The 21,574-nt window shown below is 49.5% G+C and overlaps 1 protein-coding gene, 2 long non-coding RNA genes and 3 pseudogenes across 3 annotated transcripts; 3 read left to right on the top strand and 3 right to left on the bottom strand.

Moving 5' to 3' along the window:
- HLA-A (major histocompatibility complex, class I, A) lies at positions 165 to 3,503 on the bottom strand. Its single transcript, NM_002116.8, has 8 exons — positions 3,409 to 3,503; positions 3,009 to 3,278; positions 2,492 to 2,767; positions 1,638 to 1,913; positions 1,419 to 1,535; positions 944 to 976; positions 754 to 801; positions 165 to 584 (listed from the first exon to the last, which is right to left on the bottom strand). The coding sequence occupies exons 1-8, from the start codon at positions 3,479 to 3,481 to the stop codon at positions 580 to 582; spliced, it is 1,098 nt and encodes a 365-aa protein (NP_002107.3). The 5' UTR covers positions 3,482 to 3,503; the 3' UTR covers positions 165 to 579.
- Positions 442 to 17,837, top strand: LOC124901298 (uncharacterized). Its single transcript, XR_007059541.1, has 3 exons — positions 442 to 1,254; positions 17,298 to 17,596; positions 17,779 to 17,837. It is a non-coding gene; the product is annotated as an uncharacterized LOC124901298 (long non-coding RNA).
- On the top strand, positions 4,234 to 5,123 carry HCG4P5 (HLA complex group 4 pseudogene 5; annotated as a pseudogene).
- On the bottom strand, positions 11,155 to 12,271 carry HLA-U (major histocompatibility complex, class I, U (pseudogene); annotated as a pseudogene).
- HLA-K (major histocompatibility complex, class I, K (pseudogene)) lies at positions 16,210 to 19,376 on the bottom strand (annotated as a pseudogene).
- Positions 18,820 to 21,443, top strand: HCG4B (HLA complex group 4B). Its single transcript, NR_001317.3, has one exon. It is a non-coding gene; the product is annotated as an HLA complex group 4B (long non-coding RNA).
- Positions 21,444 to 21,574: the final 131 nt, after the last annotated feature.

The following is a 21,574-nucleotide window of genomic DNA, read 5'->3' as shown; positions in this document are numbered from 1 at the left end:
ACAAGGTTCTACTGAAGGGCCAAGGACAATGGAGCAGCAAAGATGACCCAGGTGAGCTGTGACCACATAAAGCCCATGGTGGCCAGAACAGAAACTGGGCACAGCCCCATCTACTCTCCTCCCCTGCAACAAATCAGCACAAGAAACACGTGGACTCTGGAAGGTTCTCATGTCTTCCATTTATTTTGTCTCTCAAATTTTAGGAATCTTCTCCTTTAATTAACTCATCAACCTCTCATGGCAAGAATTTGAGAAAGTAAATTTATACTAAGGTTCTAATTTTAATAGGGAAGGAAGAAGTTACAGCTCAGTGCACCATGAAGTTGAGACAGAGATGGAGACACCTCAGCCCCACCTCTCTGGAACAGGAAAGATGATTGGGGAGGGAGCACAGGTCAGCGTGGGAAGAGGGTCATGGTGGACATGGGGGTGGGGTGGTCTCCCCACCTCCTCACATTATGCCTACACGAACACAGACACATGCAGGTGCCTTTGCAGAAACAAAGTCAGGGTTCTTCAAGTCACAAAGGGAAGGGCAGGAACAACTCTTGCCTCTCAGTCCCACACAAGGCAGCTGTCTCACACTATAGAAAAAAATATTCATGAACAAATTCATATCCATCACAGTGAGGGGTCACACCTTAAACAGCCCATCGCATGCTCAATACATCCAATGCAAAGAAACCCCATAGCACAGCTGTGTCCACTGTTCCGCCCAACACCCAACACACATTAGGTCCTCCAAGCTCTCACCTTTACAAGCTGTGAGGGACACATCAGAGCCCTGGGCACTGTCACTGCCTGGGGTAGAACAAAAACAGAACCTGGTCAGATCCCACAGAAGATGTGGCTAGAGGAGGAATTGTGAGGTGGGTGGGCTCCCCCATGGGCTCCCAAACACAATATCCCAAGGACCTCAGGCATCAGCCTCCTTCATACTTACTTGCAGCCTGAGTGTAACTCCCTCCTTTTCTATCTGTGAGAAGAAAATGTCCTGTGAGATACCAGAAAGGAGCCAGGGCCTTAAGGTCCTAGAGGAACCTCCTAGTCTTGGACCCCAGAGAAGTTTCCAGAAATGTGTGACTGCAGACCCAGGGCGGGATCAGGAAACATGAAGAAAGCAGGTGTGGGTCCTGGACCAATAGCCCTCCTGAGGTCTGTCCTCAGGGACCTTCCCCTGTGACTTGTGACTGCTGGGATCAGGTCCCATCACCGCCGTAATCAAGGTGATAAATCTGTCCTTCATTTTAACAGGTGCTTTACAAAAGAGTAAGTGCTGGCACACAGGGCCCAGACTGGGTAGGCCCATGATTGTGGACGGTGCTTCCCAGTAATGAGACAGGGCACATTTCTAGCTGGGGCTTGGAACCCTCAGTGAGACAAGAAATCTCAGACCCCACCCTTCACCCCTTCTCCACCTGAGCTCTTCCTCCTCCACATCACGGCAGCGACCACAGCTCCAGTGATCACAGCTCCAAGGAGAACCAGGCCAGCAATGATGCCCACGATGGGGATGGTGGGCTGGGAAGACAGCTCTGGGAAAAGAGGGGAAGGTGAGGGGCCCTGACCCTGCTAAAGGTCTCCAGAGAGGCTCCTGCTTTCCCTAAGAGACATGACACCCCCATCTCCCTCCTTACCCCATCTCAGGGTGAGGGGCTTGGGCAGACCCTCATGCTGCACATGGCAGGTGTATCTCTGCTCCTCTCCAGAAGGCACCACCACAGCCGCCCACTTCTGGAAGGTTCCATCCCCTGCAGGCCTGGTCTCCACGAGCTCCGTGTCCTGGGTCTGGTCCTCCCCATCCCGCTGCCAGGTCAGTGTGATCTCCGCAGGGTAGAAGCCCAGGGCCCAGCACCTCAGGGTGGCCTCATGGTCAGAGATGGGGTGGTGGGTCATATGTGTCTTGGGGGGGTCTGACGGGAAGAGTCAGAAAATTCAGGCATTTTGCATCTGTCATGGGACACTCCACCAGCACGCATGTGGCCATCTTGAGAATGGACAGGACACCCGGGATGGGGAAGAGAGCACAGAACCCAGACACCAGCCTGGACACAGGCACCTGGGATAATCTTCTATTCCCTGAGAAGGGAACAGCGACTTCTGGTCCTGACCTGAGTGGAGGCTGAGGGACTCAGAAGTGCTGGACTCAGACCCCCACACACATTGAGTGTGAAGCAGAGAACAAGGCCTGAGAGGAAAAGTCACGGGCCCAAGGCTGCTGCCGGTGTCAAAGGGAACCACTCATCAGTATTCGAGGGATCGTCTTCCCGTCACTCCTTCAGAGATTTTATCCCTTAATTGTGTCAGAGAGCAGGGCGGAACCTCAGAGTCACTCTCTGGTACAGGATCTGGAACCCAGGAGGATTCCTCTCCCTCAGGACCAGAGGGAGGGTGATATTCTAGTGTTGGTCCCAATTGTCTCCCCTCCTTGTGGGAGGCCAGCCCGGGAGATCTACAGGCGATCAGGGAGGCGCCCCGTGGCCCCTGGTACCCGTGCGCTGCAGCGTCTCCTTCCCGTTCTCCAGGTATCTGCGGAGCCACTCCACGCACGTGCCATCCAGGTAGGCTCTCAACTGCTCCGCCTCATGGGCCGCCTCCCACTTGCGCTTGGTGATCTGAGCCGCCATGTCCGCCGCGGTCCAAGAGCGCAGGTCCTCGTTCAGGGCGATGTAATCCTTGCCGTCGTAGGCGTCCTGCCGGTACCCGCGGAGGAAGCGCCCGTCCGACCCCACGTCGCAGCCATACATTATCTGGATGGTGTGAGAACCTGGCCCCGACCCCGCGGTCAGCCCAGTCCCCCGAGCCCCGCCCAGCCCCGACCAACCCGGGGGGATTTTTGGCCTAAACTGAAAATGAAACCGGGTAAAGGCGCCTGGGCCTCTCCCGGGGCAAGGGTCTCGGGGTCCCGCGGCTTCGGGGTGGATCTCGGACCCGGAGACTGTGGGCGACCTGGCCCGTCCGTGGGGGATGAGGGGTCCTGACCTGCGCCCCCGGCCGGGGTCACTCACCGGCCTCGCTCTGGTTGTAGTAGCCGCGCAGGGTCCCCAGGTCCACTCGGTCAGTCTGTGACTGGGCCTTCACATTCCGTGTCTCCTGGTCCCAATACTCCGGCCCCTCCTGCTCTATCCACGGCGCCCGCGGCTCCATCCTCTGGCTCGCGGCGTCGCTGTCGAACCGCACGAACTGCGTGTCGTCCACGTAGCCCACGGCGATGAAGCGGGGCTCCCCGCGGCCGGGCCGGGACACGGATGTGAAGAAATACCTCATGGAGTGGGAGCCTGGGGGCGAGCAGTGGCTGAGACCTGCCCGACCCTCGTCCCGGCGCGGCTCCCCCGGTCCTGCGCCCCCGCCAGGAGGGCCCCTTGCTTCTCCCCGCAGAGGCGGTTTCCCTCCCGACCCCGCACTCACCCGCCCAGGTCTGGGTCAGGGCCAGGGCCCCCGAGAGTAGCAGGAGGAGGGTTCGGGGCGCCATGACGGCCATCCTCGGCGTCTGGGGAGAATCTGAGTCCCGGTGGGTGCGTGCGGGCTTTAGAACAGCGACCGCGACGACACTGATTGGCTTCTCTGGAAACCCGACACCCAATGGGAGTGAGAACTGGGTCCGCGTCGTGAGTATCCAGGATGAAGGACCCTACGTAGGTTGGGAGAGGGAGAAAAGAAACTGCGGAGTTGGGGAATCCCCAAGGCTGGGACTCCCCAATCCATACACCGCCTTCGGGGCCTGAGACTCTGAGAGCCACGCCTGGGGCCCTGGGACTTCGCCCTGACCCCTCTGCTCCTGTGCGAAGCGCTCTGTCTCAATGTCTCCCTGAGTCTTGGCCCAGGAGCTGTCTGAGAAACAAGGGAGAAACCCTCGGCATGGGCCCCGTCCCTCTCCTTTCACTTTTCATCCCATTATCTCTGTCCCTGAACTGGACTCCCTGACTCCCACTCCTTACCTGTCCACCTGGACTCTTCTAGAAGAAAAATCACCCCATGGAGTTTGGTGCCAGAGAGTAAGCTTGATCTGGGAATGGAGGTGTAGATTTTTGTTGTTGTTGTTTTTGTTTTTAATCCGGAAAAGTTGTGCCTGAGTGCATGAGACAGAATAGAGACCAATTTGCTCTTTGTTTATTAACTACAGTGGGTAGCAGAATCTTGGTAACCCCTGAATGATCAGGAATCTAATAGGTAAAAAATGTGACTTTGGCCCCTTAATGTATAAATGTGTCCAAAAGCATTACAACAGGACTCACAAAGCTACTAAGTTGCACTTTCCCAGACAATGTATCTGTGACTCCTGCTTGTCTTACTTTAAATTTGCCATCATTCCTTAGCTCTGAGTTTCTGTGTGAGTCCACGACATCTCCTCAATACAAAGTAGCCACTGTGTTCCTATATGTTGCAACCAGAAGCCATTACAGGCTTTATTCACCTCAAAGTTGCAACTGTTCAAGGCAGTCACAATGCCCCTCACTAGTGCTCATGCACTGCCTGTTTTTAGGAAGTATCCACTTCTAAGTGTTGTGTATATTTTATAGGAACACTTAGTAATTTTTAAACCTGATTAACATAAAAAATAGTTTTTAGGCAGACCCACATGAGGTATTAAAAGACAACTGCCAAGGACACCCTCCTAGGCTCTGTAGATTGATGTATTAAAATCCATAAAACAATGTCTTTAAACCTAAGAATTCTGCTGCTTTCAAATTCTTTCCTCTGCTCCTTTTCCTCACCTCCTGCTTCTCCAGCCCTTCCCTCCATCCTTCTCATCCTTCAGGCCCTCCTCTCCCCTTAGTTCCCACCACACTGTCACTCATGAATTGTGACACTAGCACTGTCCCATGACCTGCTACGTAACTGTTCTTTTCACAGTGGCCCTGCTCCTGTGAGTCGGAGTGTGTCATTTCTCCACTTAAAACACTCCAGTGTCTCCACCTCGGTCTTGTGAAGCTTCTGGAGTGTCAGGCACTTGAGCATATGAGGGGATACCTCGTTCATTGTAGGGACTAAGTTAATTTTTGTTGACTTAATGAATGAAATATGAGTGTATTAAATTGCATCACAGATAATTATAAACTGTAAAACACTGAAAAAGTTCAGAAAGATTTTATTTTATGCAACTAGTGTGTATATCAATTCATCAATTCATTCGCACACTACCATGCCTGGCAAAACAACACACATTTATCTGCTTATAGTTCCTTGGTCAGAAATCTGGGCAAGATGTGGATAGAATCTCCATTCTGGGCTTCCAAAAGCTGTGTTTTCATTTTGAATCCTCCTTCGGGTTTATACAGAGGTGGCAGAATGCAGTTTCTTGCAGTTGTAAGACTGAGGTCCCTGTTCCTGGCTAGCTGTCAATGTAGAGAACTGGGAGGGGCTCAATTCCCGGTGCTCACCAGCGTTCTTTCCTACACAGCCCCTTAATTTTTCTTTTTTTTTTTTTTTTTGAGACGGAGTCTGGCTCTGTAGCCCAGGCTGGGGTACAGTGGCCCAATGATCTCTGCTCACTACAAGCTCCGCCTCCTGGGTTCACACCATTCTCCTGTCTCAGTCCCAAGTAGCTGGGACTACAGGCGCCCACCACTATGCTCTAATTTTTTTTTTCTTAGTAGAGACAGGGTTTCACCTTGTTAGCCAGGATTGTCTCGACCTCCTGACCTCATGATCCGCCCGCCTCGGCCTCCCAAAGTGTCGGGATTACAGGCGTGAGCCACCGCGCCCGGCCCATAGCCCCTTCCTTTTCAAAGCCCATGGTGGAGGAAACCCCTCATGCTGAGTCCCTTTCACACTGTAAGTCTCTATGCTCATGAAGAACCCAGTCCTTTCAAGGACTCACCTGATTAGGACAGTCCAAGCAGGATAAACCCAGCATAAAGTCAACTAATTGAGACCCTTAATTATATCTGCTAAATCCCTTCACAGCAGCACCTACATTAGAGTTGGTTGAATAACTGGAGGAAGGTGAATGACCAGGAGCTGCTTGTTGAGGCCATCATAGAATCAGCCTAGCAAGGGTTGGATCTTCCTTTTGTGTTTAATTGGGACACAGTTGGAAAGTGAAGTTCAAGTAACGTGATCATTGTGAATGGTCATAAAATACATCCTCTTCAGCCATGGAAATTGTCCTTACTTTTTAAAACTAAGTTACATGTTTAATATCTTATAATTAATTTAGGCCAGGTGTGGTGGCTCACATCTGTCATCCTAGCACTGTGGAAGGCAGAGGAATGGAGATTTGTTGACTCCAGAAGTTCAAGATCAGCCTGGGCAAAACCTCCATCTATACAAAAAATTAGAAAATTAGCCAGGCATGGTAGTTCATGATGGTAGTCGCAGCTACTCAGGAGGCTGAGGTCAGAGAGTCCCTTGACCCCAGGCGTTCGACACTGCAGTGCATGGTGATCATGCCACTGCATTCCAGCCTGGGTGACAGAGCAAGACCCTGTCTCAAAAATAATAATGATGATGATGACACATTTAGAGCAAATGCAATTTGATGTGTAATAATACATCCTCTCTTGTGAAAATATATTATTTACTGTTGCATAACAAATTACGTAAAACTTAGCTCGAAACAACAAATGTTTCTCATCTCCCACAGTTTCCAATCGTCAGGAATCCAGGAGAGGTTTCCCTGAGTGCTTCCTGCTCAGGGCCTCTCACAAGGTTGCACTCCAGTTGTCAGCCAGGGGCCGCAGCATCTGAGGGCTTCGCTGGGGCTGGGAATTCACAAGAAACATGGATCAGTCACATGGCTGTTGGAAAAGGCCTGGTTCCTTGTTGTCTGTTCCCAGAAGGCCTCAGTTCTCAGTCATGTGGACCTTCCTGCAGGGCTGCTTATGGCACAGCGGCTGGCTTCCCCCAGAGCTCATGATCCCAGATTCAGAGAGAGAGAAGGTGGAAGCCGCAGTTAGTTTTATGTTCTACACCCAGAGTCACAAACTGTTATGTTGGCACTATTCTATAAGTTAGAAGTTGTATTAGTCCATTCTCACACTGCTATAAAGAAATACCTGAGACTGGGTAATTTATAAAGGAAAGAGGTTTAATTGACCCACAGTTCTGCATGACTGAGGAGGCTGCCCCAGGAAACTTACAGTCATGGCAGAAGTGGAAGCAAACCCGTCCTTCTTCATGTGGTGACAGGAGAGAGAAATGCACAATGAAGCAGGGAAAAGCCCCTTATAAAACCATCAGATCTCATGAGAATTCCCTCAGCATCAGGAGAACAGCATGGGGGCACCGTCCCCATGATCCAATCAACTCCCATGAGGTCCCTCCCCCAATAGGTAGGGATTACAATTTGCATAACAACTCAAGATGAGATTTGGGTGGGAACACAGAACCAGGCCATTTCAGAAGTGCCTCATTAAGTCCAAGCCACACTCAAGAGAGGGAATTAAGCTGCACCTCTAGAAAGGAACAGTATCAAAGGATTTGAATATATGTTAAAAGCAAAATTATAACTATTGTTTCAGGTTTCTGAAAATCAAAGTCTTCTTGTATCTAATTATTTTTCATTAACTCTTTAAGCTTGTCTTTTAATTTAATTTTTTTTTAAGTTCCAGGGTACATGTGTAGGATGTGCAGGTTTGTTACATAGGTAAATGTGTGCCATGTTGGTTTGCTGCACCTGTCAACTCATCACCTAGGTATTAACCCTGGCATGCATTAGCTATTTTTGCTAATGATCCTCCCATCACCACCCTCCCCCAACAGGCCCCAGTGTGTGTTGTTCCTCTCCCTGTGTCCATGTGTTCTCATTGCTCAGTTCCCAGTTATATATGAGAACATGTGGTGTTTGGTTTTCTGTTCCTGTGTGAGTTTGCTGAGGATAATGGCTTCCAGCTTCATCCATATCCCTGCAAAGGACTTGATCTCCTTCCTTTTTATGGCTGCATAATATTCCATGGTGTATATGTACCATATTTTCTTTATCCAGACCATCATTGATGGGCATTTGGGTTGATTCCATGTCTTTGCTATTGTGAATAGTGCTGCCATGAATGTAAACATGCATATGTCTTTATAATAGAATGATTTATATTCCTTTGGGTATATACCCTGCAATGGGATTGCTGGGTCAAATGGTATTTCTGGTTCTAAATCTTTGAGGAATCGCCACACTGTCACTGTCTTCCACAATGGATTAACCATTTACTTTTCCACCAACAGTGTAAAAGCATTCCTATTTCTCCGCAACCTTGCCAGCATCTGTTGTTTCTTGACTATTTAATAATTGCCATTCTGACTGGCATAAAATGGTATCTCATTTGTCGTTTTGATTTGCATTTCTCTAATGATCAGTGATGGGAGCTTTCTTTTTCATATTTTTGTTGGCCACATGTATGTCTTCTTTAGAAGTGTCTGTTCATGTTCTTTGTCCACTTTTTAATGAAGTTTTTTTTCATGTAAATTTGCTTAAGTTCTTTGTGGATTCTGAATACTAGACTTTTGTCAGATGAACAGATGGCAAAATTTTTCTCCCATTCTGTAGCATGTCTGTTCACTCTGATTGATGATAGTTTCTTTTGCTGTGCAGAAAAAAATTGCCTAATCTGATTGCTTTTCATTTACAAAAATGAGAATCTCATACTTCAGTTAACACATCTAGCTTAGCATGATGCCAATAACTTTGGCTTGATGCTGTAGCCCGAAATGGTTAGCTTGAATTGAGAGACAAGTTATTTTCAAAAACTGGCTATCCAATGGGCATTCTATAACACACTTAACATCTTTTGTTGTGGTATTGAATGAGATGTGATAGAAGTGATTTGGACACCACTATGATTCTAAATAGCACTGCTATTATGTGCTTCTGAATTTTTTTTCTTTTTAGCAGTCCTATTCTGTTTCCATTCATATTTGCTATTCCATCACTGGGTATTCCTTCCTACTCTTTTCATGTTTCATTTATTTTGATCAGTGATGTGCATTTCCAATTCTGTAAAAGTTTAATTCAGTTGTATGTGTGGTAAAATGTAACGTAGAATCTTTGCAAGATGAAATTACCTTGCATAGCATATTGAACATTGTATTATTGAAAATCTAGAGAGATGCCAGTGAGCCAAGGATCGAATGACCTATATGTAGCCAAGGCCGTTTTCATGGCATCCTGGTCCTCTCTGTCACATAGCTCCTTACAATTCTCTGTGGTTTTCTTCCAATGTAAGTAGTTCTTGTTAAGAATCTTTGCAATGAACTTTGAAATTCTTTTCTTTTTCATTTCTATAAAAAACAGGTATATTTTAATTTGGAAAACTCTGTTTAAGGAATTATAATCAAGTAACTACCAGGGGGCCCAGCACTGGTGTAAAACACAAAACTGTAAAACTACCCTGGGCTGCTACCCAGTCATCCTCCAGAAGGAGACTGTTGGGAGCAAGTCCCCCAAAATCTGGTCATAAACTGGCCCCGAGACTGGCCATAAACAAAATTTCTGCAGCACCATAACATGTTCATAATGGCCCTAGCACCCAAGCTGGAAGGTTGTGGGTTTACGGGAATGAGGGCAAGGGACACCTGGCCCGCCCAGGGTGGAAAACCACTTAAAGGCATTCTTAAGCCACAAACAATAGCATGAGTGATCTGTGTCTTAAGGGCATGTTCCTGCTGCAGTTAACTAGCCCAACCTATTCCTTTAATTCGGCCCATCCCTTCGTTTCCCATAAGGGATATTTTAACTAATTTAATATTTATAGAAACAATGCTAATGACTGTAATAAATATGTGGGTAAATCTCTGTTTGGGGCTCAGCTCTGAAGGCTGTGAGACCCCTGATTTCCCACTTCACACCTCTATATTTCTGTGTGTGTGTCTTTAATTCCTCTAGCACCGCTGGGTTAGGATCTCCCTGACCGAGCTGGTCTCAGCAGAAGACTCCATGCTGAGTCTTGTGATACTTATTCCTTTGTATTTCTTCAAAGATTTGTGCAATAAGTATATATATACACATATATGTGTATATATGTGTATATATATACATATATGTGTATATATGTGTATATATACACATATATGTATCCATATATGTATATATGTGTATATATACACATATATGTATATATGTGTATATGTATGTGTATATATACACACACACATATATATATGTATGTGTGTATATATATATATCCCCAAAACAAATATCAGTTTGTTTTGCTGGTTTTTAAGCTTCCTGTACAGCAAGTTCCTACTGCCTTTATTTTCCCATGATGCACATTATGTGTAGGAGTTATCTGTGGTGTGGGAGACTGTCATTCATTCATTTTTACTGCTGAAGGCTTACATATGGTTATACCACAATTTCACTAGTTTCCTATTGATGTATATGTGGCTGATTCCAGTTTTTGCCATAAATATTAGTGTGCATGTCTCCTGTGCACATAGGCAAGAAAGCCCCCCAGAGTGGATGATTAGGAATGGGTTGGTTGGATGATACGTTGTATGGACTTTAACCATACTAGATAATGATAATACAAATTCCAAAGTGATTGTGGCTACTTAAACTTTTACAATAAATGTGTAATACTTGATGTTGATGATGTGTTCTGAAAACACTGTGTTGAAGGAATTGAGTTAAAAGCCACTGTCTTGGCTGTAGAATTATAGCAGGCATTTTTATTCAGACTCTGTTAATAACTTCCTGTTGTTTACTTGTTTCTCATATACATGACATTATATTTTTGACATATAGATTCAGAAAATGCTTACTTACAACCCAATCACATAGAGTTATTTTATATATTAGGAAAATTTCATAATAAAAAGGAAAAAATGGAGGAAGAGAGAGAAAGAAGGAGGAATGGAGGAAAAAGCAAAAGAAGAAAAGAAGGAAGGGGAGGGGAAGGAAAGGGAGAAAGAAGGAGGGAAGGCGATAGTTTGAATGGAAATAGAGAAGAAAGAGATGGAGGGAGGGCTAGAAGGAAGGAGAAAGGGAAGGAAGAGGCCAGGCACAGTGGCTCATGCCTGTAATCCCAGTCTTTGGGAGGCTGAGGCAGGCAGATCACGAGGTCAGGAGATAGAGACCATCCTGGCTAACATGGTGAAACCCTGTCTCTACTAAAAATACAAAAAATTAGCCGGGCATGGTGGCAGGTGCCTGTAGTCCCAGCTACTTGGAAAGCTGAGGCAGGAGAATGGCATGAACCTGGGAGGCAGAGCTTGCAGTGAGCCGAGATCGAGCCACTGCACTCCAGCCTGGGCGACAGAACGAGACTTTGTCTCAAAAAAAAAAAAAAAAAAAAAGAAAAGAAAAGAAAAAAGAAAAAAAAAGGATGGAACAAAGGAGAAAAGAAACTAAAATAAAGAAAAGAATAGGTGTTGAGAAACTAGAAACCTATGTGTGGCTAATATTATCAAAATAGGAGAAAATAAAACAGATGTAGTTAACCTCTAGAGAATAATGGAAATGTAAGAGGGCTTCATTAGTTATCCATTGCTGTGTAACAAACTACTCCCAAATTTAGTGACTTGGGATCACTAAATGAGGGATCGTGTTCCCGTCATTCCCTCAGAGATTTTATCCCTTAATTGCGTCTTCCCGTCATTGCCTCAGAGATTTTATCCCTTAATTGTGTCAGAGAGCAGTGTGGAACCTCAGAGTCACTCTCTGGTACAGGATCTGGAAACTGAGGAGGATTCTTCTCCCTCAGGACCAGAGGGAGGGTGATATTCTAGTGTTGGTCCCATCTGTCTCCCATCCTTGTGGGAGGCCAGCCCGGGAGATTACAGGCGATCAGGGAGGCGCCCGTGGTCCCTGGTACAGGTGTGCTGCAGTGTCTCCTTCCTGTTCTCCAGGTATCTGCGGAGCCACTCCACGCACCTGCCCTCCAGGTAGGCTGTCTGCTGCTCCGCCTCATGGGCCGCCTCCCACTTGCGCTGGGTAATCTGAGCCGCCATGGCCGCCGCAGTCCAAGAGCTCAGGTCCTGGTTTAGGGCGATGTAATCTTTTTACAGAGAATCCTTTTTACAGAGAATGGGGAGATAACCAGGACAGGATTTATGGACCCAGTGATTCCACCGTGGGGCATAATTTGTCCAGGTTTATTCCCTGGCCTCTGTAAGCCCCACTGTGATAGGGACATAATGGTGCTGTGGGAATCTGGGCAGCAATGTTAGCTCACACCCAATGTTAACACTTATCCCATCTCCTGATTAAATGGCTATAGGCTCCTTTGCAGAAGGGCTGATGGAATTGTCCCAGCATGTAACAGTCATGGTGTCCCAAGGTTCTTTCTCTTAGGGATATGGATACTTCCTCAGCCACTGGATTCTGAATGTGAAGCTTGCTCCTCAATTCTTTTTTTTTTTTTTATTGATCATTCTTGGGTGTTTCTCACAGAGGGGGATTTGGCAGGGTCATGGGACAATAGTGGAGGGAAGGTCAGCAGATAAACAAGTGAACAAAGGTCTCTGGTTTTCCTAGGCAGAGGACCCTGCGGCCTTCCGCAGTGTTTGTGTCCCTGGGTACTTGAGATTAGGGAGTGGTGATGACTCTTAACGAGCATGCTGCCTTCAAGCATCTGTTTAACAAAGCACATCTTGCACCGCCCTTAATCCATTTAACCCTGAGTGGACACAGCACATGTTTCAGAGAGCACAGGGTTGGGGGTAAGGTCACAGATCAACAGGATCCCAAGGCAGAAGAATTTTCCTTAGTACAGAACAAAATGAAAAGTCTCCCATGTCTACTTCTTTCTACACAGACAGGGCAACCATCCGATTTCTCAATCTTTTCCCCACCTTTCCCCCCTTTCTATTCCACTAAACCGCCATTGTCATCATGGCCCGTTCTCAATGAGCTGTTGGGTACACCTCCCAGACGGGGTGGTGGCCGGGCAGAGGGGCTCCTCACTTCCCAGTAGGGGCAGCCGGGCAGAGGTGCCCCTCACCTCCCGGACGGGGTGGCTGGCTGGGCGGGGGGCTGACCCCCCCACCTCCCTCCCGGATGGAGCGGCTGGCCAGGCGGGGGGCTGACCCCCCCCACCTCCCTCCCGGACGGGGCGGCTGGCCGGGCAGAGGGGCTCCTCACTTCCCAGTAGGGGCGGCCGGGCAGAGGCGCCCCTCACCTCCCGGACGGGGAGGCTGGCCGGGCGGGGGGCTGACCCCCCAACCTCCCTCCCGGATGGGGCGGCTGGCCGGGCAGAGGGGCTCCTCACTTCCCAGTAGGGGCGGCCGGGCAGAGGCGCCCCTCACCTCCCGGACGGGGAGGCTGGCTGGGCGGGGGGCTGACCCCCCAACTCCCTCCCGGAGTGGGTGGCTGCCGGGCGGAGACGCTCCTCACTTCCCAGACGGGGTGGCTGCCGGGCGGAGGGGCTCCTCACTTCTCAGACAGGGCGGCCGGGCAGAGACGCTCCTCACCTCCCAGACGGGGTCACGGCCGGGCAGAGGCGCTCCTCACATCCCAGATGGGGCGGCGGGGCAGAGGCACTCCCCACATCTCAGATGATGGGCGGCCGGGCAGAAACGCTCCTCACTTCCTAGATGGGATGGCGGCCAGGCAGAGATGCTCCTCACTTTCCAGACTGGGCAGTCAGGCAGAGGGGCTCCTCACATCCCAGACAGGGTGGCGGCCGGGCAGAGGCTGCAATCTTGGCACTTTGGGAGGCCAAGGCAGGCGGCTGGGAGGTGGAGGTTGTAGTGAGCCGAGATCACGCCACTGCACTCCAGCCTGGGCACCATTGAGCACTGAGTGAACGAGACTCCGTCTGCAATCCTGGCACCTCGGGAGGCCGAGGCTGGCGGATCGCTCGCGGTTAGGAGCTGGAGACCAGCCCGGCCAACACAGCGAAACCCCTTCTCCACCAAAAAAATATGAAAACCAGTCAGGCGTGGCGGCGCGCGCCTGCAATCGCAGGCACTCGGCAGGCTGAGGCAGGAGAATCGGGCAGGGAGGTTGCAGTGAGCCGAGATGGCAGCAGTACAGTCCAGCTTCGGCTCGGCATCAGAGGGAGACCGTGGAAAGAGAGGGAGAGGGAGACCGTGGCAGAGGGAGAGGGAGAGGCAGAGGGAGAGGGAGAGGGAGAGGGAGAGGGAGAGGGAGAGGGCTCCTCAATTCTTACATGCTTATCATAGATATCAAGCAGTGCTCTTGCTGTCTGCCCATCTTTTCTGACCCTGGGACACCACCCTTTATTAAGCTTTCCCATAACTCCTTGAAGGTCAAGCCCCCTTGACTGATACTCTGGGTTATCACAGTAAGTGTGCCCTCTATCTTTTTCAGGTCACTGAAAAGGAGGGTTCCTAAAGCATTCACTCCTGACCCTGAGGGAGGTGGGTGCACTCACTCCGGGACTCAGGTGCACCACAGATAAGCAAAAAAGTCCTCACATTCAAAATTGTCCTGGGCCACATGCAGCCCACGAGCTGCGGGTTGGACAAGCTTGCATCTAGAACATATACACCATAAGGCCCGAAATTTTTCTGTTTTTACTTTAATGATGCTTTCTAAATGCAAAAACAGTCATATACCTAGCAGAAACAAATGTCAGTTGAAGGAATGATCATAGAGAACCACTCTATTCTAGAGGCAATATCTTTATTAATGTAGCCTCAGGACAAATGCTTTATTTTTGTGGCAGCTACAGAACAACATCATCTCACACTGACATCAGTGCCACCAGATCTTTTCTCACCAGGGCTGCTTGTGTGTCCTCCCTCCCTCCCTCCCTCCCCCCACACCAACTCTACTGCACACTGCAGCACACAACCATATTTTTCTCTTCAGGAAAGATAACCCTAGGCTTATGGGTCCAATTTTCCAACCACATATGAATCTAAACTAGACTCTGCTTTATAAATTGATGAGTTTCTATTGGAGCCAGCACTAGGATTACTACAACTCAGGGCAGGAAGAAGAGTAGGAGTGCAGAAGAGGAGTTCCAACAGAAAGTTACCTATGATGAGAAACTATGGGACCCTGCCTCTTGGCAAATTTCAGAATCTGGTTCCTTTAAAAAGATTGCAGAAAAGATGGAAAATACAATGAGGAAAGAGCCCTGGGAAGACGGCAAGAGCTTGAACGATCTGAAAATTTGTCTCTTGATACCACAAGGACCCTGGTATGCAGGGACTGCCGTAGGTGACATCCAAGTCCCTGTGATCACAGGTCATGGTGGGACAAGGTTCTACTGAAGGGCCAAGTGTGGGTGGAGGATTACTCAGGTGCCGAGGCAAGAGACTGAAAGCACAAACTGTTTTAGTATAATAAAGAAAATAGTTAGAATAAGAATAGTCATAATACAAATTAGATATAGAGATGATCATGAACAATTATCAATCATTATTATAAACATTATTAATCATTAGCTTTTAATATTACTCTTTGTTGCATTACTAAGATAACCTAGGAATAACCGGCGGGTATAGGGTCAGGTGCTGAAGGGACATTGTGAGAAGTGACCTAGAAGGCAAGATATGAGCCTTCTGTCACGCCCGCATAAGGGCCACTTGAGGGCTCCTTGGTCAAGTGGTAACACCAGTGTCTAGGAAGGCACCTGTTACTTAGCAGACCATGAAAGGGAGTCTCCCTTCCTTGGAGGAGTCGGGGAACACTCTGCTCCACCAGCTTCTTGTAGAAGGCTGGATATTATCCAGAGCTACCTGCAGTCATCCAGAGGCCTAAACCCCTCCCTGTGGTGCTGTGCTTCAGTGGTCATGCTCCTTGTCCACTTTCATGCTCCTCCTGTACTCCTGGTTCCTCTTTGAATTTTGTAGTAGATAACGGTAGAAGAAATAGTGAAAGTCTTAAAGTCTTTGATCTTAAGTGCAGAAAAGAAAATGGTGACATATGCTACCTAAAAGGGAAGGGCCCCCTATCCTGTAATCACGTGACTTGCTTCACCTTGTCAATCATTTAGAAGATTCACCTTCCTTACCCTGCCCTTTGTCTTGTATGCAATAAATATCAGCGAGCCCAGCTGTTCGGGGCCACTACCGGTCTCCGCATCTTGATGGCAGTGGTCCCCCGGGCCCAGCTGTTTTCTCTTTATCTCTTTGTCTTGTGCTTTTATTTATTACAATCTCTCATCTCCGCACACGGGGAGAAAACCCGCTAAGCCCCGTAGGGACGGATCATACAGCCAAGGACAACAGAGCAGCAAAGATGACCCAGCTGAGCAGTGACCACATAAAGCGCACGGTGGCCTGAGCACCCACTGGGCACAGCCCCATCTACTCTCCTCTCATGCAACAAATCAGCATAAGAAACATGTGGACTCTGGAAGGTTCTCATGTCTTCCATTTATTTTGTCTCTCAAATTTTAGGAATCTTCTCCTTTAATTAACCCATCAACCTCTCATGGCAAGAATTTGAAAAAGTAAATTTATACTCAGATTCTAATTTTAATAGGGAAGTAAGAAGTTACAGCTCAGTGCACATAAAGTTGAGACAGAGATGGAGACATCTCAGCCTCACCTCTATGGAGCAGGAATGATTAATTATTGGAGACGGAACACAGGTCAGCATGAGGGAAGAGGGTCATGGTGGACATGGGGGTGGGTTGGTCTCCCCACCTCCTCATATTATGCCTACAGGAACACAGGCACATTCAGGTGCCTTTGCAGAAAGAGAGTCAGGGTTTTTGAAGTCACAAAGGGAAGGCGTGAACAAATCTTGCCTCTCAGTCCCACACAAGGCAGCTGTCTCACACTATAAAATAAAATATTCATGAACAAATTCATATCCGTCACAGTGAGGGGTGACACTTTAAACAGCCCATCACATGCTCAATACATCCAATTCAAAGAAACCCCATAGCACAGCTGCGTCCACTATTGCCCCCAACACCCCCCCACATCAGGTCCCCCAGTGTCTCACCTTTACAAGCCGTGAGAGACACATCAGAACCCTGCGCATGGTCGCTGCCTGGGGTAGAACAAAAACAGGACTTGGTCAGAGCCCAGAGGAGATGCGGCTAGAGGAGGAATCTGGGGTTGGGTGAGCTCCCCCATGGGCTCCCGACCACAATATCCCAAGGATCAGGGATCAGCCCACTTCATACTTACTTGCAGCTTCAGAGTAGCTCACTCTATCTGTGGGAAGAAAATGTCCTATGAGAGGCCAGAAAGGAGTCAGGGCCATACGGCCCTAAACAAACCCCCTAGCCTTTGATCCCAGAGAAGTTTCCTGAAAGTGTAACTGCTGATCTAGGACAGGATCAGGAAACATGAGGAAAGCAGGTGTGGGTCCTGGACCAACTGCCCTCCTGAGGTCTGTCCTCAGCAGGGACCTTCCCCTGTGACTTGTGACTGCTGGGATCAGGTCCCCATCATCATAATCATCAAGGTGATAAATCTGTCCTTCATTGTCACAGGTGCTTTACAAAAGAGTAAGTGCTGGCACACAGGGCCCAGGCTGGGTAGGCCCATGAGTGTGGATGGTGCTTCCCAGTAACCAGGCAGGACACACTTCTAACTGGGGCTTGAAACCCTCAGTGGGACAAGAAATCTCAGACCCCACTCCTCATCCATTCCTTACCTGAGTTCTTCTTCCTGCACATCACAGCAGAAACCACAGCTCCAGTGACTACAGCTCCAAGGAGAACCAGGCCAGCAACGATACCCACGATGGGGATGGTGGGCTGAGAAGACTGCTCTGGGAAAAAAGGGGAAGGTGAGCGTCCCTGACCCTCAGCCCCCAGCACCGACCCTGCTGAAGTTCTCCAGAGAGGCTCCTGCTTTCCTAAGAGACATGACCCCCCCTCCACTCATCTCCTGCCTTACCCCATCTCAGGGTGAGGGGCTTGGGCAACCCCTCATGCTGCACATGGCACGGGTATCTCTGTTCCTCTCCAGAAGGCACCACCACAGCTGCCCACTTCTGGAAGGTTCCATCCCCTGCAGGCCTGGTCTCTAGAAGCTCCATGTCCCGAGTCTGGTCCTCTCCATCCTGCTGCCAGGCCAGTGTGATCTCCACAGGGTAGAAGCCCAGGGCCCAGCACCTCAGGGTGGCCTTATAGTCAGAGACGGAATGGTGGATCATATGTGTCTGGGGGAGAGGTCTAACAGGAAGTGTCAGAAAATTCAGGCACTTTGCATCTCTCATGAGACACTCCAGCAGCACGCATGTGGCCATCCTGAGAATGGACAGGACACCTGGGGTGGGGAAGGGAGCACAGAACCCAGACACCAACCTGGACACAGGTATCTGGGATAATCTCCGAATTCCGTGGAAAATTCCAGTCCCTGAGGAGGGAACAGTGACTTCTGGTCCTGACCTGAGTGGAGGCTGAGGGACTCAGAAGAGCTGGACTCAGACCCCCACACACATTGAGTGTAAAGCAGAGAACAAGGCCTGAGGGGAAAAGTAACGGGGCCCAAGGCTGCTGCTGGTGTCAAAGGGAACCCCTCATCAGTATTCCAGGGATTGTCTTCCCTTCATTTCCTCAGAGATTTCATCCCTTAATTGTATCAGAGAGCAGGGCAGACCCTCAGAGTCACTCTCTTGTACAGGATCTGGAAACCCAGGAGGATTCCTCTCCCTCAGGACCAGAGAGAGGACGACATTCTAGTGTTGGTCCCATTTTCCTTCTCTCTTTGTGGGAAGCCAGCCCAGGAGATCTACAGGCGATCAGGGAGGCGTCTTGTGTTCCCTGGTACCCGTGAGCTGCAGCGTCTCCTTCCCGTTCTCCAGGTGTCTGCGAGCCTCTCCACGCACGTGCCCTCCAGGTAGGCCCTGATCTGCTCTGCAAATTCTTCTGCCTCCCACTTGCGCTTGGTGATCTGAGCCGCCATGTCCGCCGCGGTCCAGGAGCGCAGGTCCTAGTTCCGGGCTATGTAATCCTTGCCATCGTTGGCGTGCTGTTCATACCCGCGGAGGAGGCGCCCTTCCAGCCCCAAGTCGCAGCCATACATTATCTGGAGGGTGTTAGACCCTGGCCCCGCCCCCGCGGTCAGCCCCGCCCACCGAGCCCCGCCCCCGCCCCGACCAACCCGCGGGGATTTTGGCCTAAACGGAAAATGAAACCTGGTAAAGGCGCCTGGGCCTCTCCCGGGTCGAGGATCTGGCGGGTCCCGCAGCCTCGGGGTGGATCTTGGAGCCGGAGACTCGCGGGGGGGACCCGGGACGTCCGTGGGGGATGAGGAGGGGTCGTGACCTTCGCCCCAGGCCGGGGTCATTCACCGGCCTAGCTCTGGTGGTAGTAGCGGCGCGGCATGGGCAGGTTCACTCTTGTCAGTCTGTGCGCGGGCCTGATGTTCCGTGTGCTCCGGTCCCAATACTCCGGTCCCTCCTGCTCCAACCACGGCGACTGCGGCTACATCCTCGGAGTCGCCGCGTCGCTGTCGAACCGCACGAACTGCGTGTCGTCCACGTAGCCCACTGCGATGTACCGGGGCTCCCCGCGACCCGGCCGGGACACGGCGGTGCTGAAATACCTTATGGAGTGGGTACCTGGGGGCGAGGAGGGGCTGAGACCCGTCCGACCCTCCTCCTTGCGCTGCTCCCCGGGTCCTGCGCCCCAGTGCGCGGGCCCCTACCTCCTCCCCGCAGAGGCCATTTCCCTCCGGATCCCGCACTCACCCGCCCAGGTCTCGGTCAGGGCCAGGGCCCCCAAGAGCAGCAGGAGGAGGGTTCGGGACGCCATGACCCCATCCTCGGCGTCTGGGGAGAATCTGAGTCCCAATGGGTTCGCGGGGACTTCTGGAACAGGGACCCCAGCGACGCCGATTGGCTTCGCTAGAAACCCGACACCAAATGGGGGTGAGAACTGAGTCCACATCCTGAGTGTCCAGGAAGAAGGACCCTACATAAGTTGGGAGAGGGAGAAGAGAAACTGCGGAGATGGGGAATCCCCAACCCTGGGCCTCCCCAATCAATACATCGCCTTCGGGGCCTGAAACCCTGAGAGCCACGCCTGGGGCCATAGGACTTCGCCCTGACCCCGCTCCTCCTGTGCCAAGCGCTCTGTCTCAATGTCTCCCTGAGTCTTGGCCCAAGAGCTGTCTGAGAAACCAGGGAGAAACCCTCGTCATGGGCCCCGTCCCTCTTCATTTTTCATCCCGGAATCCCCGTCCCAGAACTGGACTCCCTGCCTCCCACTCCTTACCTATTTCCCTGAACTCTTCTAGAAAAAAACTCACCCCAGGGAGCTTGGTGACAGAGAGGGAGCTCGCCGCCAGAGAGGGAGCTCGCCGCCAGAGAGGGAGCTCGATGCCAGAGAGGGAGCTCGCCCTGGGAATGGAGGCGTAGAGACAGGTTTTTGTTTTTTTTTTCTTTAAATCCGGAAAAGTTGTGCCTGAGTACATGAGACAGCATAGAGACAAGTTTTCTCTTTGTTTATTAACTACAGTGGGTAGCAGAATCTTGGCAACCCCTAAATGATCAGGTATCTAATCGGTAAAAAAATGTAACTTTGGCCCCTTGATACATAAATGTGTCTGAAAGCATTACAACAGGACTCACAAAGCTACTAAGTTTGACTTTCGCAGACAATGTATCTGTGACTCCCGCTTGTTTTTTACATTTACCTTCATTCCACAGCCCTGAGTTACTGGGTGAGTCCAAGACATCTCCTCAATATAAAGTAGCACACTGCGTTACTATATGTTGCAACCGGGAGCCAGTACAGACTTTATTCACCTCACAGTTGCAAGTGTTCAATGCAGTCACAATGCCCCTCAGCAGTGCTCATGTGCTGCCTGTTTTTAGGAAGTATTCACGTCTAAGTGGTGTGTATATCTTATAGGAACACTTAGTATTTTTAAAACCTGATTAATTAAAAAAAATTAGTTTCTAGGCAGTCCCAAATATAGTATTAAAGGCCAACTGCAAAGAAGGAACACTAAGTGTTTTTTAAACCTTATTAACATAAAAAACATTAGTTTTTAGGCAGTCCTACATTAGGTATTAAAGGCCAACTGCAAAGAACACTGAGCGAGGCTCTGTAGATGGATGTAATAAAAATCTATAAAACAATGTGTTTAAACCTAAGAATTCTACTGCTTTCCAATTCCTTCCCTCTGCTCCTTTTCCTAACCTCCTGCTTCTCCAGCCCTTCCCTCTGTCCCTTTCATCCCTCAGGCCCTCCTCTCCCCTTAGTCCCCACCACCCTGTCACTTCTAAATTGTGGCTCTAGCATTGTCCCATTACCTGCTACGTGACTGTTCTCTCCACAGTGGTCCTGCTCCTGTGAGTCAGAGTGTGTCATTTCCTCACCTAAAACACTCCAGTGGCTCCACCTCGGTCTTGTGAAGCTTCTAGAATGTCAGGCACGTGAGCATATGAGGGCATACCTGGTTCATCTTAGGCACTAAATTTTTGTTGACTGAATGAATGAAATATGAATGTATTAAATTGCATCACAGAAAGTTATAAAATGTAAAACACTGAAAAATTAAGAAATATTTTATTTTATGTAACTAGTGTGCATATCAATTCATTCCGAGTCTGTTGAGCCTGTGTATGAATTTTATAAGATTGCATAACAAATTATCACAAACATTGACTTTAAACAACACCCAATTATTGTTGATTTATTTGTTTTTAGAGACAGAGTCTCCCTCTGTCATCCAGGGTGAAGTGCAGTCACATGATCATGGCTCACTGCAGCCTCAAACTCCTGGGCTCAAGGGATCTTCCTGCCTCAGTCTT

This window comes from Homo sapiens, chromosome 6 (assembly GCF_000001405.40).
Source record: "Homo sapiens chromosome 6, GRCh38.p14 Primary Assembly".
Taxonomy (NCBI): Eukaryota; Metazoa; Chordata; class Mammalia; order Primates; family Hominidae; genus Homo; species Homo sapiens.
This window is presented reverse-complemented; position numbering and strand designations above follow the sequence as displayed.

Excerpts from the sequence above, each read along its gene's own strand:
- HLA-A (NM_002116.8), bottom strand. The coding sequence starts at position 3,481 with ATGGCCGTCATGGCGCCCCGAACCCTCCTCCTGCTACTCTCGGGGGCC. Across the intron at positions 3,279-3,408 it reads CCTGACCCAGACCTGGGCGG|GCTCCCACTCCATGAGGTAT; the intron begins GTGAGTGCGGGG and ends GCTCGCCCCCAG. Across the intron at positions 1,536-1,637 it reads GCCCCTCACCCTGAGATGGG|AGCTGTCTTCCCAGCCCACC; the intron begins GTAAGGAGGGAG and ends CTCTTTTCCCAG.